An 18,071-nucleotide genomic window follows, 5' to 3' on the forward strand; every position below is an offset into this window, starting at 1 on the left:
AAAAATAAAACAAAGAAAAAAAGCGTTTTGTTATCCATGAAAGTTGAAAAATACAGCATATGCTAGGCTTCACCTGGAAATTGCCATTGCACGTTAGCAGACTAAAAGTTCTGAGAAGTGCTATACTGAAGAAACCTATTTAACTCAGTGTTAACTGAACTTATTTGGCCTTGGAATTTAAAATCACAAAATACTTATTAGTAACATCATGTGGACCACCAGTATTCCTTGAACATGATCTGGAAAACACTCTCCGAGAGAGAACAGAGATAGACCAGAGTGATTGGAAAGCAGGTTTTGTTTCAGACATGTTCAGTATGAAAGGGACATGGTTGTTCAAAAAAGAAAATAGAAGTTGGGGTGACTGAGGACTTTGGTCTGTCAAAATAACAGAGAAGAAAAAATCCTCCTGCTTTTAGACTGGAGTTTTGAACTCTTATTGCACCTCGGCATGTTTTTGTGATCTTATCAAAGAGGAAGTGTCTGGCATTTCTCCTAGTGGGGCTGTGCCCTTTGATGTCGTTTCTCAGAGCAAATTCAGTTTTGATCAATTCTGTCATGGCCTCACGCCAATCGCTCCATGCTGTAGGTGCTCCAAATACCAATGAATCAGATTCCAGTGATACACTGCTCTGTGGCCATGCCGCACATGAAACATAGGGGAAAACAGTCATTGCATTTTCTCCAGGAGTCCAAGGCCAACATTTTCCCACATTAAATCACTGCTAGTCTTGCAAGACCACTTCCTGCAACTAATCCTTTCCAGCTCTTCCTTTGAGTCCACCCCCAGGTCTGGAGTGCCCTGGCCTTTAGATTTCCTTCCAGTCTCGAGGGCTCTATTAACATGAACGTTTTTGGCTTTAGTGCCTTCTGATTCAACACCCTGGGTCTAGCTGAGAGCTAAAAATACCATCCTTTCCAGCTGATCTGCCCTAATCACAATAGCACCAACACTTTAAATAGCTTTTCTGTGCTAGCATAGACATTTGACAGATGGAACTAACACTCTGAGGGCTACAGGAAGTCACAGGCTTAAAGGACTTAACCAACTTAGCACTGAGCTTTACTTTGCTCTTTCATGTCTTTCTAGAGAATAAAGAAAGAGACCCTCTTCCCAAGTCTTAATAATTAATCAGATCTTAAGAGAAAAGTGTATGGTGGGAGTGCTTATGATGCCGCTAATTGTGTTAAGTACTAGAAAATGTTAGATCAGAAAGCTGCTAACAGAAGTCTCTCCTTTCTAGCACCGATCATTTCTGTGGATGTTGGGAGATCTGTATGAATCTGTTTTACATCTTACCATTACAGCTGCATTTGGGGTTAATAGGTATCTGGGACTACTGTCTTAAGTGCACAAGAAGTAGTTGCATCTCCAGCCATATCTGGAAAGGAATCTTTGTGACGAACAGTTCTACAAACCAGTTTTTTAAATTAAGTGTTTATAATATTAAGAAAAGCTCAGAGACTTAATGTATCTATTTTCATTAGTTAGGTACTGTAATGAGAGACAAATATTTGTTCCAGCATGGGGGCTAGGTAAGGGTGAATTCTGTTTCATTGTTTTGTTGCGGCTCTCCCCATCCTTTGGAATATTTCAAAAATGGAAACACTCTTCCAGCTAGCACCTAACTATCATTTGGTTGCTTAAATGGTAAAAAGCATTCTTTTCAGCAGTCATAGTGGTTTTGAACTTGCTAATAAATACCACAGCAGGGCCCCAGATGTAAATTCCCCCATTCCCACTCTCTAATATGAGTACCTGCTTCACCCTTGTTGCTGTCAGAGGATGTGTGACCTTAGCTAAAGTAGAAAGATAAAAGAAGGAAGATCACATCGACACCTTCTAAGAGTTGAGGCCCCAGATTCAAAATGCCAAATTTATGGAAGGATACAAATGAACCATAAGAAATCTTATATTGGCTGGGCTCAGTGGCTCACACCTGTAATCCCACACTTTGGGAGCCTGAGGCAGGAGGATAATGTGAGCCTGGGAGGTCGAGACTGCAGTGAGCCATGATCACGCCACTGCACTCCAGTCTGGGCAACAAAGAAAGACTCTGTCGAGAGAGAGAGAGAAAGCAAGGAAGGAAAAAGAAAAGAAATCATATCTTGAACGAAGGGTAACTATATTTGACCATCTTTTTTTATTCTATGCTTTGGGATAAATCTCAGTGTCTTATGCCTCAGATGATATCATCAGCACACAGTGAAACAATATTACATTACATTCTCATTATCAAACTCTCACAACTATAAGATTCCGTCCTGTTTCCCAGAAGGTCAAAATGTGTTTTAAAAAATTAAAAACTATGATATCTTGTCAAGAATTCTATCCCAGTCAGACCAGGAAGCCTCCTTATATCTGGCTTCCCTTGCCATTCATCATACATTTAGCAGAATCTCATCATTCTGCAATCCGTAAATCTTCAAACTCAAACCTAATAACTAAAATGTATAAAAATCGAATCACACATACTAATGTTATGGAACCCTCTCTCTAGTCTTCTGATAAAAATCACAGTACAGTCATTCATTAGGAACAGAGTCAGGTTGCTGGCCAGAATGCTTCCAAATGTATTAAAGTTACATCCATTCAACTTGCTTATTCTTCCTGGCTGTTTGGCATGTTTTCTAATTCTAGAAGAGTGAGAATAAGAGAGAGAGAGACAGAGAGAGTTTCTTAGCCTGTCATCTCTTACATAGGTGGTGAAATAATTGAGAATATTTCATGATTATTTCTGTAGGAATCTGGCCCTTGCCACATGTATATGCTAGAATGTATTTGTGCCTATGCAACAAGGTGGGTGTTCAACAAAGGCTCCTACTTTGTGTGTTTTTGGGTTTCCTGGGAAATGGGCAAGGGCCTAGAAAGTTAGGAATGATTTTTACAACTTAAAGCAAGCCCCTCTGTGTTCAAGACAATCCTGTCAAAAGGCATTAGCCAAACCCTAGCTGATGATGTTGCCTAGCAACCCACTCAAAGCTGCAAGAGCCCTTCATTGTGGGAAGCAGGGTGGCAACCAGAACTGCCTCATCCCCCACAAGGTGATTAAAAGGGCATATTGAGGCCCCTTCTTCCAGCAATATTGCATAGATGTACCCTGAGATACATTTTTTGACTCCTCAAATAGAGCCATTTCTTAACTACTCTGCTTGGTGTCAGTGAAGACATTGGAAATAAAAGGGGAAAAGCTAAGTAATAACTAAGTGTGGTAAAAATGTCTCATGAAAGGAGTCTTAGTGCCTCCTCTCCTGAGCTGTCAGTGGTTTGAATGTGCGAGAAAGACATCAGGGTGAGAGCTACCTGCAAAACTAGTTCACGTCTATGTCTATGGTATTATGTAAATATTGGCATCTCCAACACCTATCAGAGCAGATATTGATGAAAGGTACCTGTTGTATTGCAGATAACGTGGGAAACACAGTGATGAAAAACTCCAGGATCCCTTTGTTCAGAGAGCTTACCATTTAGAAGGGTAGAAAGACCATCCATCATGGCAACCTTTTCCCAGAGAGCACAATAGAATATGACAGATTTTTATGTGGGGAGAATTTAGTTCTTGAAGTAGGCATGAGTAATTTGAATGCTGTCTTCAGAAATGAATATAATAAACAGTCAACAAAGAAGCAGTGCTTGTCATCTCTATTCTTAAAGTTTCTCTTTCTCTGATACAGCAACATCTCATAAAGAGAGAAATAACCTTTAATTCTGGAACGTTATGTCCTTTTTGAAACTGTAGTCATGAGGAAGAGCCAAAACACCAACCCATTCTTACCCTGAGTTGGTGACTATGAAAACTTCTGTCATAGTTTCTGTCATAGCTGGGATCTTAGGATCTAGCAGCAGTCACCTTTGCACAGCTTCAGTCTTTCTCAAAATCTGTGGTTGAGACAGTTTGTTTCGTTATTATTTTCGAGGCATAGTATTCCCTAAAGGCTTAAGAAATCATTTCTGCCTGCTTTGAAAAAAAAAAAATCTTAAACATCTAGGTTAATAAATTTGATTTGCAGTTGACTTCTGTAGCTCTGGGCCCTTCCTGATCCTGGCAGTTGAGGCCCGAATGGCTCACAATGAAGTAGTAGTGACTTGGGAAGTAGCACTATGGATGTGGTCATCAGTCTGTGTGTCCCCATTGATCTGGAACCAGCATCCAGAAACAGATACCAACATGACAGTCACTATGGCATACCCACACACTTATTTCTGTCTTTGTCCTCTTCAGAGTCTTCTTTACCTGTCTAGCACCTAATTTGAGATTGCCAGCTCCTTAGGCCCACCAATATCATAATCTCCAAAGGTAACTCGCACTAAACCATAGGTGTACCTTATTCTGTTTTCAGTCCTGGAATGTGATAGGCAGACAAGTCATGAACCTGTTCTTCACTTTTTGCTATTGTGTGGGAGAATGGCTTCTGAAGTGTACACATGTCCATGTGACAGTACTTGTCAGGGAACTGAACACACATGGCTCATAAGGATGTGAGAAGAGAGTGTACATTTGTTTGAGATTTTAACTGAAGGTGTTGGATTTTGAATCTGTATTTCTAGACACTGTTTCCAGCAAGTTGCAAAACAACAATGTTTATACTATTGCCAAGAGGAATGTGGAAGGGCAGGACATGCTGTACCAATCCCTGAAGCTCACTAATGGCATTTGGATTTTGGCCGAACTACGTATCCAGCCAGGAAACCCCAATTACACGGTAAGGCCTTTCTCAGAATGGGTGAGATGGATTAGAGGAGGGAGGTGAGAGCCCTTTCATGTTTACTTAGCACCCTAGAAAGACCTGGAGGAGGTGCTTTAAACCTGAGATATACAAAATAAGTAGTCAATGAAGAAGCTTCCATTTGCCTCAATGGAAGACCTCCTCTCTGCAGTGTCTGCCCCATCCAACAGGAATGGTATCTCTGGCAAGTGCCTCAAATCCATCCCTCCCCCCTGGTGTATACAGAGTTGCTCACAAAACTTGGCAGCTTCATCCTCAATATCAGTTAATACATATCTAGTGTATCTGTGCATGTGGTACTATAATAAGCTGCCGAGAGGATTGTTTACATAGTTAATGTCCAGAAGACCTTTCTTGCTGTTGGAGTTCATGACCTAAGGCTATCAGAGTCATTAACACATGAGCTTTTTTCAGCAGCATTGTATGACCTGAAATGCTTGTTATTAAAGGTGAGGCAAAATGGAACACACCTTTGGAAGCGTATAAGGGGACTTTAGTTTGGGAAATTTCCTTCAGTATCACACTGAACTAAAGTAAAACTTCTGGCAATAATAAGGCAGAAGCAGTTGCTTTGTTAAACAGCAGATTGATAGCCAAGCACTAGGCATTTGTTTGCTGTTGTAAAATGCAATTTCCCAATAGGATGTCATCTGCATTTTGAAAAGTAAAGGAAAAACCCTTGGGATGGGAGAAATATCTTATTCCTCTGTTATGTTTGAGGGTTTTATGGGGATCTATTTATTTCTGAGGAAGCTGAATAGTCAGTAGCTTAAGGGAGCCTTTTAGTCATTTAGCTGAGAAAACTCTGTGACCCGTTCCTTAATTTTGACAGCTAAGTCTGTTTTCACTAGCATATATCAAGGGAATAGTACCATCCAGAACTGAAAATTCTTGGTGTTTTTCCCACTAGTTCCCATCCTTGTAGTAAGTTGGAGTAGCTGTGTGTGTGTGTGTGTGTGTGTGTGTGTGTGTGTGTGTGTGTGTGCTCGCTCCTGAGGCCTATCAAGTTAGACTTTTGCCCAAGCACTTATGAGCTGAAAAACTTCAGGCTTCCCTCATAAAATGTATGCTCCTCTCCCCAACCCCCCACCAGTCTCATCTCTTTTGGAGAGTAACATACACTGTCATTTATCTTGAGTTTCCCAAGAAAGGAAAACCCCTCTGTGCTGTTTCTGGAGGGACAAGTTTTACTATAAAACCAAGATAGCACATGCCTGTAATCCCAGCTACTGGAGAGGCTGAGGCAGGAGGATCACTTGAGCCCATGAGTTCAAGACCAGCCTGGGTAACATAGTGAGACCTTGTCTCAATTGGAAGAAAAAAAGGGTTGGGGGGAGAATAACTCCATTTACTCTCTAGAAATTTGCCAAAAGTTTATATATGGGTGTGTGTGGTTTTTTTTTTTTCCTTTTTTTCTTTTTGCTTACTGTCCATTATTTTATTGTATATAGTCTTCCATCTCAGCTAGGTTAAAGGAGCATGATTACTCCCAGGTTGCAGATAAGTAAACCATGGCTAAGAATGATTAGTGACTAGTTCAAGATCATGTAATTTGTTGGTAGGTGAATTTTGTTTAGAATTCAGGTGTTTCTTGACACTCTTCTTACACAATATTCTTGATTTTGAGAAGAGCTTCTTAGTATCACTGTCCTAAACATAGTTTGTTAAAATTTTAAAAAGTATTTTATTTTGAAATAAAGACTTAACAAATTTTTTAAATGGAACAGTAGAGTTTCTACATCTCTTTTACCCAGTTTTCCCCATTAATAATAACATCTTACACACCCATACTACATTTTCAAAACTAAGAAATAGGTATTAGTACAATATAATAAACTAAACTATAGACATTATTCTAATTTCACCAGTTTTTACATTACTTTTGGGGGTGGGGGATTGGTAGTGGATAGTACTATGAACTCTTATTACATGTATCAATTTGATAACTGCTGCCAGAGTCCAGACACAGACTTGTTCTGTCACCACAAAAAAAAAAAACTTCCTCTTGCTGTCCCTTTATGGTCAGACTCTCACCCCAGCCCTAACCCCGGCAGCCTTTCTCCATTACTATAATTGTGTCATTTTTAGAATGTTGTATAAATTACACATGTAACATGTAACCTCTTAAGATTGTTTTTTGCACACATAATACTCATAACATTCTTCCAAGTTGTTACATGTATCCATAGCTTGTTCTTTTTTATGGCCAAGTAATAGTTCACTGTGTCCATGTACCACAGTTTCTCCATTCATCCTTTGAAGAATATTTTCTCCTTTATATTTAAACAAAAGTTTGGAAGTAATTGTAAATTCATATGTAGTTGTGAGAAATTATACAGTGACCTGGTGTGGTGGCTCATGCCTGTAATGCCAACACTTTGGAAGGCTGTAATGGGAGGATCGCTTGAGGACAGGAGTTCAAGACCAGCCTGGTCAACATAGTGGGACCCCATCTTTATTAAAACATATTTTTTTTAAAGAAATACAGTGAGCTCTTCCTGTAAGTGACCTGAGATGATCTCTGCTCAGTTGGCCTAGAAAACCCCCAAAATCATACAAAGCAAGAGATTCAAATCTTCATGTTTACTTTAAGAACACCCGTGGAAGTGCCCAGGCCATCAAAGGTATGCATATCCAAATAGCCACCAAGTACTTGAAAGATGTCACTTTATAGAAGCAATGTGTGTCATTCCATATTATTATAGTGGAGTTGGTATGTGTACCTAAGCCAAACAGACGGGCTGGGCACAGGATGACAGGTGGCCCAAAAAGAGTGCTAAATTTGTGCTGTACATGCTTAAAAAGGCAAAGAGTAATGCCGACCCTAAGGGTTTAGATGCAGATTCTCTGGTCATTGAGCATGTCCAGGTGAACAAAGCCCCAGGATATGTTGCTGTATTTATAGAGCTCAGGTCACATTAACCCATACATAAACTCCCCTGCCACATATTGAAATGATCCTTACTGAAAAAGAGTAAATTGTTCCTAAACCAGAAGAGAGGGTTGCAGGGAAGAAAAAGATATCCCAGAAGAAATTGAAGAAAACAAAAATTTATAACCTGGGAATAAATTCAGCATGGAATAAATGCAAATAAAAGTTAAAAAAAATAGATTCTGTCCTCGTGGTTTAGCCACATCCACCTTCCTTTGTCCCATATATTTTTATTTTATTTATATATATATATATATATATATATATATTTTTTTTTTTTTTTTTTTTTTTTTTTAATATAGAGATAGGGTCTCGCTATGTTGTGCAGGCTATCTCAAACTCCTGGCCTTGAGCGATCCTCCCATCTCGGCCTCCCAAAGTGGTGGGATTGCAGGCGTGAGCCACTGCACCTGGCCCACCCGCCCCCTGCCCCATATTTTTAAATGGTGAATTTGTTTATACTTCCTTGCCCTCTTTCCTATTCTTCATCCTGTCTGGTGACTAGGTTCTCTGCCCACAATACCATCTAAATCTCCCATCATAGCACTTGACAAATAGGTCTAATTTGTTCCCCTAAGTGGCACCCTTTTAGTCATTAGACTAAAAGAAGAGGTGGTGGTAGAGGGGTATCAGAGGTATCTGATTTGCCTATCTAAAGAGGCAGACTCTAAAGTCATTCTGATCCATTCCCTTCATCACCTTAAGTTCCTATTATACTATTAATCTGATCTGAGCTAAGTATTAAGAAAGAAATCGGGTTGAGCCAGCACTAATGCATGACAGACTGATGGTCCCTTAGTCTCCTAAGAGGGGTTAATAAAACACTTCTCCCCAAACCCCAGTTTTTATTGTATTTTATTAAGAAGATAGGTTTATCCTATAAGGGTGAGGCTATATCTCTGTAAGTAGGTAATCCTCACCTGAAAGATAACTTGTCCCACGTGAAGCAGTGTATGTTCCACACCATATGCCAAAAGTGGATGCATAGCCCCTTAATTTTAATTAGGCAGGACAGGGTGACTCTTCTGCCCTTGGTGTGTCTAGTTTGGACTGGATTCCTGAATGGCTGATGTTAAAGACATGTCACATAAGGAATTAGCAGTTGGAAAGTTAAGCCCCAAGGAAGGCCTCTTTCTCCCTAGGAGCCATACAAAATGAGAGCCAGAGTCCTAGCTATATGTAATAAACTTGACACTTTGTCAGAGGCTGGGGTGGAGGTAGGGGTGGGGAGGTGTGGATATTAAGAGTCCAGACACAGGGAAAGTTTCTTCCCCATCCTCCAAAGACCAGCGGTAATGCCCAGGGCCTAGGGTCTGGTCAGTCCATGACTTCCCACCAATGCCAGCCTTGGCAGTTTGAGCCATTGTTGAGGAAGGCAACATTTCCTTACTAGTTGTAAACATAAAAATGAACCTCCAGCTGGAGGAACTTCAAGTATTGTTACAAAGATGTGGAAAAATACAAGATAGTATTTTGGGGGAGTATTTGGGGACTACCTCTCCTTAGTCTGGGAGTTAACTCTCTTAAGCTGTTGTTTCTCTTTTTAGATTCCTCTTCTCTTCCATTTCTGAATCCACATATTCTCCCACTAGAATTTTCCACAACACTGGCAGTAGAGAAGGCTGTAGAGAAGGAGGTACAAGAATTGCTTTAGGTCCAGCGCAGTGGCTCATGCCTGTAATCCCAGCATTTTGGGAGGCCGAGGTGGGTGGATCACCTGAGGTCAAGAGTTCGAGACCAGCCTGGCCAACATGGCAAAACCCCTTCTCTACTAAAAAGACAAAAAAAAATAGCTGGGTATGGTGGCACGCATCTGTAATCCTAGCTACTCGCGAGGCTCAGGCAGGAGAATTGCTTGAACCTGGGAGGTGGAGGTTGCAGTGTACTGAGATCACGCCACTGCACTCCAGCCTGGGTGACAGAGCAAGACTCTGTCTCAAAAAAAGAATTGCTTCAATAGGGAGTTTGAAAGTCAGGGAAATGCCTAAAGATGCAACTTGGACCAAAATAGGGAGCTGTTTTCTATATATAAGGAATAGCTATATTCTTAAGTTAGTTGTTTTGGTTTTTTTTACATTTATCAGAATTGTCTTCCTGACTAATACCAAGCAGCAGTTTTGGGAATGCCTTGGGGACTGAATATTAAAGCTGTAAATCAATAGAATATCTTCCCATGTTCTTTTGTTTGGTTTGGGGTTTTTTTGCATTTTAAATTTTACTTTAACTTTTTAGGTTGTTAGTTTTTAGGAAATTCACCGTTGACCAAAATCTTCTTGACCTTTTATTCAAAGATAGTCTCACTTTTGCACTATGTTAAATTGTCCTTAGTCTCTAATAAGAGAATAAAGAGGTAAAATAGTCTAAAATCTCACGGTGCTACATCATTCAAGACAATTTTTGTTGACCTGCCCTAATTAACAAGAGGAATGATGTCAGCAATATAAAATATATAGCTATTAAATTTTCTGGTTCTAGAGTGCGTTTTGCATGCTTATATTATTGTTAATAATATTCTGCCTAATCTAATACAATTAAGATTCTAAATCTGGGTTTAAATTTTGTCCTTACTGACTCACAAAGTGAAATTCTCAATATTCACCATTAAGATCTTTTTAATATTGATGTCTAATTTGGTATTCATTAGACTAAAAGAAGAGGTGGTGGTAGAGGGGTATCAGAGGTATCTGATTTGCCTGTCTAAAGAGGCAGAAAATAAAAGATTAAGCTGTTGATGTGAATTGAGGTTGGGTTATACTAAGTAAGTGTCTTTTCATGTTCTTGTCTTCCCTCTTAGGGGTGTATACTCTCCTCATTATAATACAGAAAGGACTAATACCTTGGACCTACCTAGTTTATGGTTTTATTTCACTTGATTGTACATCCTCCTGAAGTTGGGACTGAGATATAGCCATCCTCTTGTCAGACTGAGAAACTGAGGCAGGCAGCTGAAAGGACCATCAACAAGTTAAGGGCTTTGGCCCTTCCCTTTTCATTTAATAATAATCCCTATAACTCTTAGAAAAGCATTAGAGCAGCTGTTGCTCTGCAGTCAGTGGCTTTGATGTTTTTAGTATGGATTATTTCCTAATCTTATAGACCCACATGGAATGGAGGTAGAAGCACAGCACAACTTGATATTGATTAAATTGAAATGCTAAAACCCACAGCACTTATTAACATAATCTCTTTGTTTAGCTACTCCAGTGATAGAAGTTTCTCTCCCACTGTGTCAAAAGTTTTCTTGAACTGAGTGCTTGGATACCTTTAGAGCTAATGCCAACCTCTGTGCTAATCTTCCATCTCCTTTTTCTCCTAACAGCTGTCACTGAAGTGTAGAGCTCCTGAAGTCTCTCAATACATCTATCAGGTCTACGACAGCATTTTGAAAAACTAACAAGACTGGTCCAGTACCCTTCAACCATGCTGTGATCGGTGCAAGTCAAGAACTCTTAACTGGAAGAAATTGTATTGCTGCGTAGAATCTGAACACACTGAGGCCACCTAGCAAGGTAGTAACTAGTCTAACCTGTGCTAACATTAGGGCACAACCTGTTGGATAGTTTTAGCTTCCTGTGAACATTTGTAACCACTGCTTCAGTCACCTCCCACCTCTTGCCACCTGCTGCTGCTATCTGTCCTTACTTGTGGGCTTCTCCATGCTGTGCCAATGGCTGGCTTTTTCTACACCCTCTTTTGAGTGTAGTTTGGTATTTTGTAATTGAGAGCTCATTTCAAAAGCAGAAAAAGACAACAAATATTAAAGCAAGGAAAAGTGTAACTGAAACACTGCACTTTACTGTTTTATACTTTTGTACATATGAGAAATCAAGGGATTAGTGCAACCAGTAGAAAGCATTGAAATGACTGTCATTAACCACACAGTCCTGGAGGCAGAGATGCAGTTACCTACCCTAGCTTTTGATGGGTTCTCTTACCTGTAGTAGCCTTATCCCTGGTCATTTGGATTTTCAGTTTGCTTTTTTCTTTTTTTCCCCTCCAAACTCCTTTTCCTTGGCCAAGCCTTCATGCTTCCCCCTTTCCATATTATAATCTCATTTGATTGCTCTGCAGTTGGGAACGGTGATCTTCTTGAATGATGTTTCAGTGTGCAAAAACTATAGAGCCTGTCAGCACCAAAGCTGACAGAAGTTATACCTTACTCCTTTCCTTTCCCCTGAACAAACCTGCTAATCCCACTAATTCAGGAATTTGAGTAGAGATGGGGAACAAGAACCCAGATGCTGTCCCCTCACCCCCTCTCCTGTATTTCTCAGGTCCAGTTCAAATCTAAAATTCTACTTTTAGAGTTGAAACAGAGTAATAACTTATCTAACCCTCTTTTCCTACAAAGGAGAAAGATAAAAGGCACAAAGGTTACCGCCAAGGCCCGTCAGCTGTGTAGTGGCAAAGCCGAGACCGAGTCTCCTAAGTCCCCGTCAGTGTGGTTTTCACCACAGGACTGTCTCTTGTCGTTTTCCCCTAATGCCTTCTCCTGCCTTTTCTGTGCCTAGTTTTTGGCTCTTCACATATTCCATATTGATTTTGACGCTCTGTATATTGGCATCAGGTGGCAGCTGAATATCTTTTGAATTACTCGAAGGTAAAGCCAGATGCCAGAATGAAGGTGTAGCCAGTGTTTCCCATATGCCCCTGGAGCCCCACTTATTGAGGCCAGCAGAATAGGTGCAGAGATGAAGTGAGCTTAGAGATGTTGCAAATGCTCTTTATCCCTTCAGCTCTCTGATCTGCTCTTTCTTCATGATACTTAGTCTGCAGGGCATATTAAGATCATCCCAGAGGTTCAGGCAGTTCCTGTCATCTCTGAAAAGACTGGGGGATATGAAATCTTCCCCCTACCCCACTTAATGCGTTGGATATGATTTTTCAAAGAATGCTTCATGCCCAAAATACCAGCCTGTTTAGCAGTGTTACACTGTTTGATCTGCGGGCACTTGTTGCATTGCCTGGCACCCAATATTCAGGGTCCATGACTAAGACTGGTCTTCTCAGATGCCCTGCTTAAATCAGGGGCACTTCAGGCTCCACAGGCGTCATGTTGGACTGAGACCTAACTCACTGGACTCAGAGGAGGAATCGTGGAAAACAAGAGCAAAACTACCCCACACCCCTATTTCATGTCTGAAATAACCCTGTTTCATACCAGTTGCAAAGCTTGTGGGGAGCGGTCCCACAAAGCACTTTCTTAAACCTTGAGAATCTCCAAGAGAAAAATATTTGGGGAAGGAGGGAGGAAATATGTCCCTTGCACACCACCCCTGAAGCACATGGCAGTAGGAAACAGCATAGGATTGTATGTGGGAGGTGGATAGGTCGGTGATGTGTGGAGCGGAAAAGCAGGTTGGTAAAGTTCCCTTCTTGGGACTTATTCCTGGAGTCAGTGGATACAAGTAGTGCAGAAGGTTCACACTGCAAATAGTGTTCTCATCTCAAAGCAAACTATCATTCCAGAAGGAAAAGTGTGTCAGGGCAAGCAGACAACACAATTTCCTATCAGAATATGTCCCTCAACCCCCGAAACAAGGCTTCTCTCAGCCTCCCCACCAGTGATGGATAACAGCTCCTATTCTCAGCTGACCTGACTGAGCCAACCCATGAACTCTTCACTCCTTGGGGAAGCCACCTCCCATCACACCCCTGAGCAGAGTTAGGGAGGAATTCTACTTCCCATAAAAGGACCTCTCCTGAGAGGCAAAACCTGTTGCCTCCACCACGGCTTCCCTCTTGGCTCATTCCAAGCTTGGCCAAATTGGGGAAGTGGGATGGAGGTTGCCCTGCATCCCCCCTCCTCTGCCTGAGTGTGTCTTTGTAATGTCAGCTGGCATCATACAAAGAGCAGGAGAAGCAAACACCCAGAACTCTTTTGCTGGTCAGAGATTCCCTGAGTGTCTGTCCTCACCCAAGCCTGCTCTGTGTCTGTGTTGTGAAGCTTGAGACTCTGGAAAGAAATGGGGAGGGGGGGCAGGGGAAATGTTGCCCTAAGAATGCTTCTCATTCCTCTGTTCTTATTGGGTCCTGTTTTTCGGGAGGGTGGGGGTTGGGGGAAGCTTGACCTTGTGTCTTCGTCAATAAACTCACATTTACACAAAATGAAGTTTGTGGTATGTATTTTTTTCCCCAGAACTGACATTCTAGGAGAAAACACAGCAGGCCAGAGAGGGACAGAACATTCATAACCACTCTATTAAAACTTTTCTGACTGCCCCAGCCCTCCCAGGGATTCAGCCACATGAAATTAAGAGTGACTTGAGGAAGAATCATATACCTCCTGGGGGCTCCTTTTGACCAAGACCCAAAGCACCACTGCAACTCCAGGCATCTTTGCAGGCAGGGAGTGCTCAGAGGAGTCAATCTGTCTTTTCCTGGCAGTTCCCCTGCTGGGGCCCCAGGCAAATGGTCCCAGGGGCAGTAGCCGGAGCCACAGGGCCTTTTTCTGACTTGTCAGTTGGCATCCAGCCAGCAGGGCCCAGGGCGAGAGGAATGCAGCAGAGCTTCTCATCGGTTTATTACCCAGGATGTCTCAATCATCTCTCAACTTACAAAAGTCTCTCAAACCCGGCCTCAGGGCCTGCATATTCCCAAGCAAATGGAATTAATCCTGCTTTAAAACAAGCTTCCCAGGGAGTTCCAAGACTAGAGGCCTGCATTTGTGTTGTTGGGGGCATATGACCCATATGTTGTCAAGACAGGAGGCCCCCCGCCAAGCCTAGGTTCTGATAAGCTGACAGCTGCTGAGATCTCCCACTGCCTGGAATGGGGGGAAGAGGCTGGAATGAGGGATCTAACACCAAGATGCCCCTGGATAAGTCCCTGAACCTCTCTCACCACTAGAGTGAATGTAGATAAAGCACTCTGTAGCATTTGAGACTTAGTAGGTGCTCAGCAACCGTAGCTGCCTTTATTACTTGGATGTCCAAACCCCATGAGCAAACTGCCTTTTGGCAGCTAGGAACTTTCTGGTTGTCTCCATGTTGCCAGGCTGCAGTTAGCTGTAATAGGAAAAACACTTGGTGAGAGGGGTCAAACCGGGGTTGCCAGTTAAGAATGACGTTAATTTGGGCAAAGAAAGTCCTGAAGGAGAGGTTCTCAACTCTTCGGTGCACATTAATGTCACCTGGAGAGCTTTCAAAAAAGACATGGTTCAGTTCAATCAGTCTGGGATGGTACCTGGGGGAATCAGCATGTTTTAAAACTCCCAGGTGTTTTCTAACGTGCAGTCAAGGTCAAGAATCACTGCCAGAGAGAGAGGCTCACACCTGTTCACCTACTTCCTCTTCCACAGTAATACTCATGTTCTGTGGCAGTTGAAAAATGGTTAAAGCACTTCCATATGTACAATACCTGCCTATTCCCTTACCTATCTCATGAATTTAATTTCATCTCCAGTTTACAGATGAGATGTGGCAGAGCCACGTCTTCTGACTCCCTGTCTGTGTCCTTAGAACTACACTGTAGCTTCCTCCTTCGTCCACTGGAGGTTCTGTAATAGGTTCTCTCCTACCTCTGCTCTCAGCCACATCCCAGCTTGCTAAGCCCCTAGGATACCAGTATGTTCAGAGCACACCGGTCCCAGACTTGCACCTGAGACTACACTGTCTTTCTCTGCCTGTAAAGTGACAACTAGGAAACACTGAGATGTCAGGTACATTGTTTCTGAGGTCAGAAAACAGCTAAGGACTCGCAGGTTTGGGCTTTCTACTCCCACTTCGTGCATTAATGCTTTTTCTGGTTTTGCTTAGACCCAGATTCTTTTTCCCTGCCACCCCCAGCTCCAGGAGGCAAGAGCCTGTTTATTTTAATACCTGGTATGGCACTTGGAAAAGATCACACCTCCCCCGTTGTTACCCAATTCTATCTCCTGAACACTAATCCTAGAATCCCAACCAGCCCCCAGACATGTTATTAGCAACAAGGGATGTTTCTTGAAAAGTTTCCGAGTTGGCTCCAAACTTACCATCTCAATTTCTCATTTAGCTTTTGCCCTGCCATGCTTGATGCTGCCAACAAAGGGAAGGCTAATTTGGGGGTTGGTTACACCCAGGTTCTCAGCTGGAAAAGTGCTTGCAATGGCTGTTTCCAAGAGCATCGTTTTGAGACAAGACTGCCATCTCTGGGATCATTTCTCAATGCTCTGGGGCTGAGATTACTCCACTCATCCCACTTCTCCCACCGGGTAGATGTTAGAGGATGATGTTCAAGTCCAGCCTCTAGCTCACCCTCTCTTGTTTCATTTACTCTTCACTTATGGTCGGAGACCCCAGGATCTGGCCTAATAGCCTCTGAAAGCTCAGTAGGATCCTCAGCTATGATGGAGCAGGGGCAGAGGTAGGCAGGTCTGGGTTTTTGACATTTCTGTCCCACTTCGTGTCTGGGCCTCAGCTACTGCAGGCGGTCCCATGTGTCTGCTCCCTGAGTTTGCACCTCAGCCAACAGGCAGGCATCCTCAGCTGAGCCAGACCCACCTGAGGCTCAAGGTCAGACCCAAGTACAGAGTCTTTCACATGTTCCCATCAAAGTGCTCCTAATGATGGGGGAGAGTGAACAGGCTCCTAGGGGTGCATGTTCTTAGGCCAAAGTGACTCTCAGCAAACCAAGATGACAACTGTATCCTAACTTCAGGCAAATCTTCCACTTCATGTAGATAGAATTGCTGTTTGTTTTTTTAAATAAAAATAATCCTTTAAATGACCTTTCACTGAAGGCCAGTATGAGGCTCCATAATTAACCTGCAGCTTTGTGTTTCCCTAGTGCAGCGGCACTATCACGGCTCACTGCAGCCCTGACCTTCAGGTGCAAGTGATCTGCCCCAGGTAGCTGAGACTACAGGTGTGCAACCACCATGCCCGGCTGTTTTTGTATGCTTTTTAGAGACGAGGTTTCACCATGTTGCCCAGGCTGATCTTGAACTCCTTGACTCAAGCATTCAGCCCCCCTTGACCTCCCAAAGTGCTGGGATTATAGACATGAGCCATAGCGCCTAGTGTATTTTAATTTCTTACTTCTAGTCCGCCTTTGGAATGGAGGGCCACAGCCTGGGGGAGCAGACATAAAGCCTGGGATCCTCGGGCAGGGTGAGGATTAGAGATTTTCAGATACAGTGGAGGGACAGGTGATGCAATCAAGAGGCCCTTAGCGACCCCATGTGATCCCACAGGGCCAGTTAAAATCTGATTTATTCTCCCCAAAAGTGGTGCTCCAGGAGGAAGCCAAATTCATTCCAGCCCTATACTTGCTTCTAGCTGCTGCTCTGGTCCTTTCATACCCCCACCCCAACCCTCTGGGAGCCTACCTAGAATAAATGGAACCGCTGTACCACGGTGTTGCTCATCCTCCTGTAGAATGCCTGCGTGTCCCTAAAAAGGCAAAAAGTAAAGGCCCCATGCTGAGACTTCCTACATGCCAGGCATTGTGTTAAGGATTTTACACACCTCAGCTCATTTACACCCTGTCAACAACAGTGAGGGACAATTAATCACACTCCATTTAATAAATGAGACTATAGACTTCAAGTTACTTGCCTCAGTTACAATAGTAAGTGGCAGAGTCAAGATTTAAATCTAGCTCTGTCTGATTCTGAAGCCCAGGCTCATACCCATTCTCCTCTGTGACTGAACAGGAGAGGGAAGGGAGGAATAGGGAAGGTGCCCAAAATGCAGAGGTCAGACTGTGGAGGAAAACTGAGTTCTGTTTGGGAGCCTGAGAGCCGGAGCACAGGGTAATAGGAGGTCACAGTGGAGGATGCAGGGTCCCAGGGGTAAAAACACTTGGGATATCTCTCAAGCTTCTGCTCCTCCTCCTGCCCTGGAGGCTCTAAAATGCAACCTGAGCAGGTGTGTCCCTGCTTTAAAACTCTTCCATAGAGCCGGGTGCAGTGGCTCACGCCTGTAATCCCAGCACTTTGGGAGGCTGAGGCAGGTGGACCACCTGAGGTCAAGAGATGGAGACCATCCGGGCCAAGATGGTGAAACCCCATCTCTACTAAAAATACAAAAATTAGCTGGGTGTGGTGGCGCGTGCCTGTAGTTCCAGCTACTCTGGAGGCTGAGACAGGAGAATTGCGTGAACCCAGGAGGCAGAGGTTGCTGTGAGCCAAGATCGTGCCACTGCACTCCAGCCTGGCAACAGAGCGAGACTCCATCTCAAAAACAAAAACAAAAACAACAACAACAACAAAAAACTCTTCGATGACTTCCCATCCAGCACAGGGCTGGATCCCAACTCCTCATCCTGTCAATCAGGGCCTTTGTGACCAACCTCTCGCCTCTCCACCCACCATGCTTCCTCATGGGCTCCTGTCTGGTTCCCAGACTCACTTCTCAAGCCTGTGTAATTGCTCTTGACTTCCGTAGCTTTCTTCTGCTACAATCTCCCTCCACCCAGCCCCAAAATCTAC

The 18,071-nt window shown here is 43.0% G+C and overlaps 1 protein-coding gene and 1 pseudogene across 13 annotated transcripts in view, besides 1 other annotated feature; both read left to right on the forward strand.

Annotated features, from left to right (window-relative positions):
- AP2B1 (adaptor related protein complex 2 subunit beta 1) overlaps window positions 1–13,768 on the forward strand; it is a 139,092-nt gene extending 125,324 nt beyond the window's left edge. For all 13 annotated transcript variants that reach the window (XM_011524450.3, XM_005257938.4, XM_047435509.1 and 10 more), the window contains 2 exons: window positions 4,550–4,704; window positions 10,980–13,768. In XM_011524450.3, the coding sequence (XP_011522752.1) occupies window positions 4,550–4,704; window positions 10,980–11,054 (230 nt within the window). In that variant the 3' untranslated portion in view covers window positions 11,055–13,768. The remainder of the gene's footprint in view (window positions 1–4,549; window positions 4,705–10,979) is intronic.
- Window positions 7,262–7,781, forward strand: RPL17P42 (ribosomal protein L17 pseudogene 42; annotated as a pseudogene).
- Window positions 16,865–17,159: a silencer, noted in NCBI's record as "tiled region #1039; HepG2 Repressive non-DNase unmatched - State 23:Low, and K562 Repressive non-DNase unmatched - State 18:Pol2". NCBI's record gives its function as "represses a minimal TATA promoter and a strong SV40 promoter by Sharpr-MPRA in HepG2 and K562 cells {active_cell/tissue: HepG2 | K562}" and the evidence as "EXISTENCE:reporter gene assay evidence [ECO:0000049][PMID:27701403]".

This window comes from Homo sapiens, chromosome 17 (genome assembly GCF_000001405.40).
Source record: "Homo sapiens chromosome 17, GRCh38.p14 Primary Assembly".
Classification (NCBI taxonomy): Eukaryota; Metazoa; Chordata; class Mammalia; order Primates; family Hominidae; genus Homo; species Homo sapiens.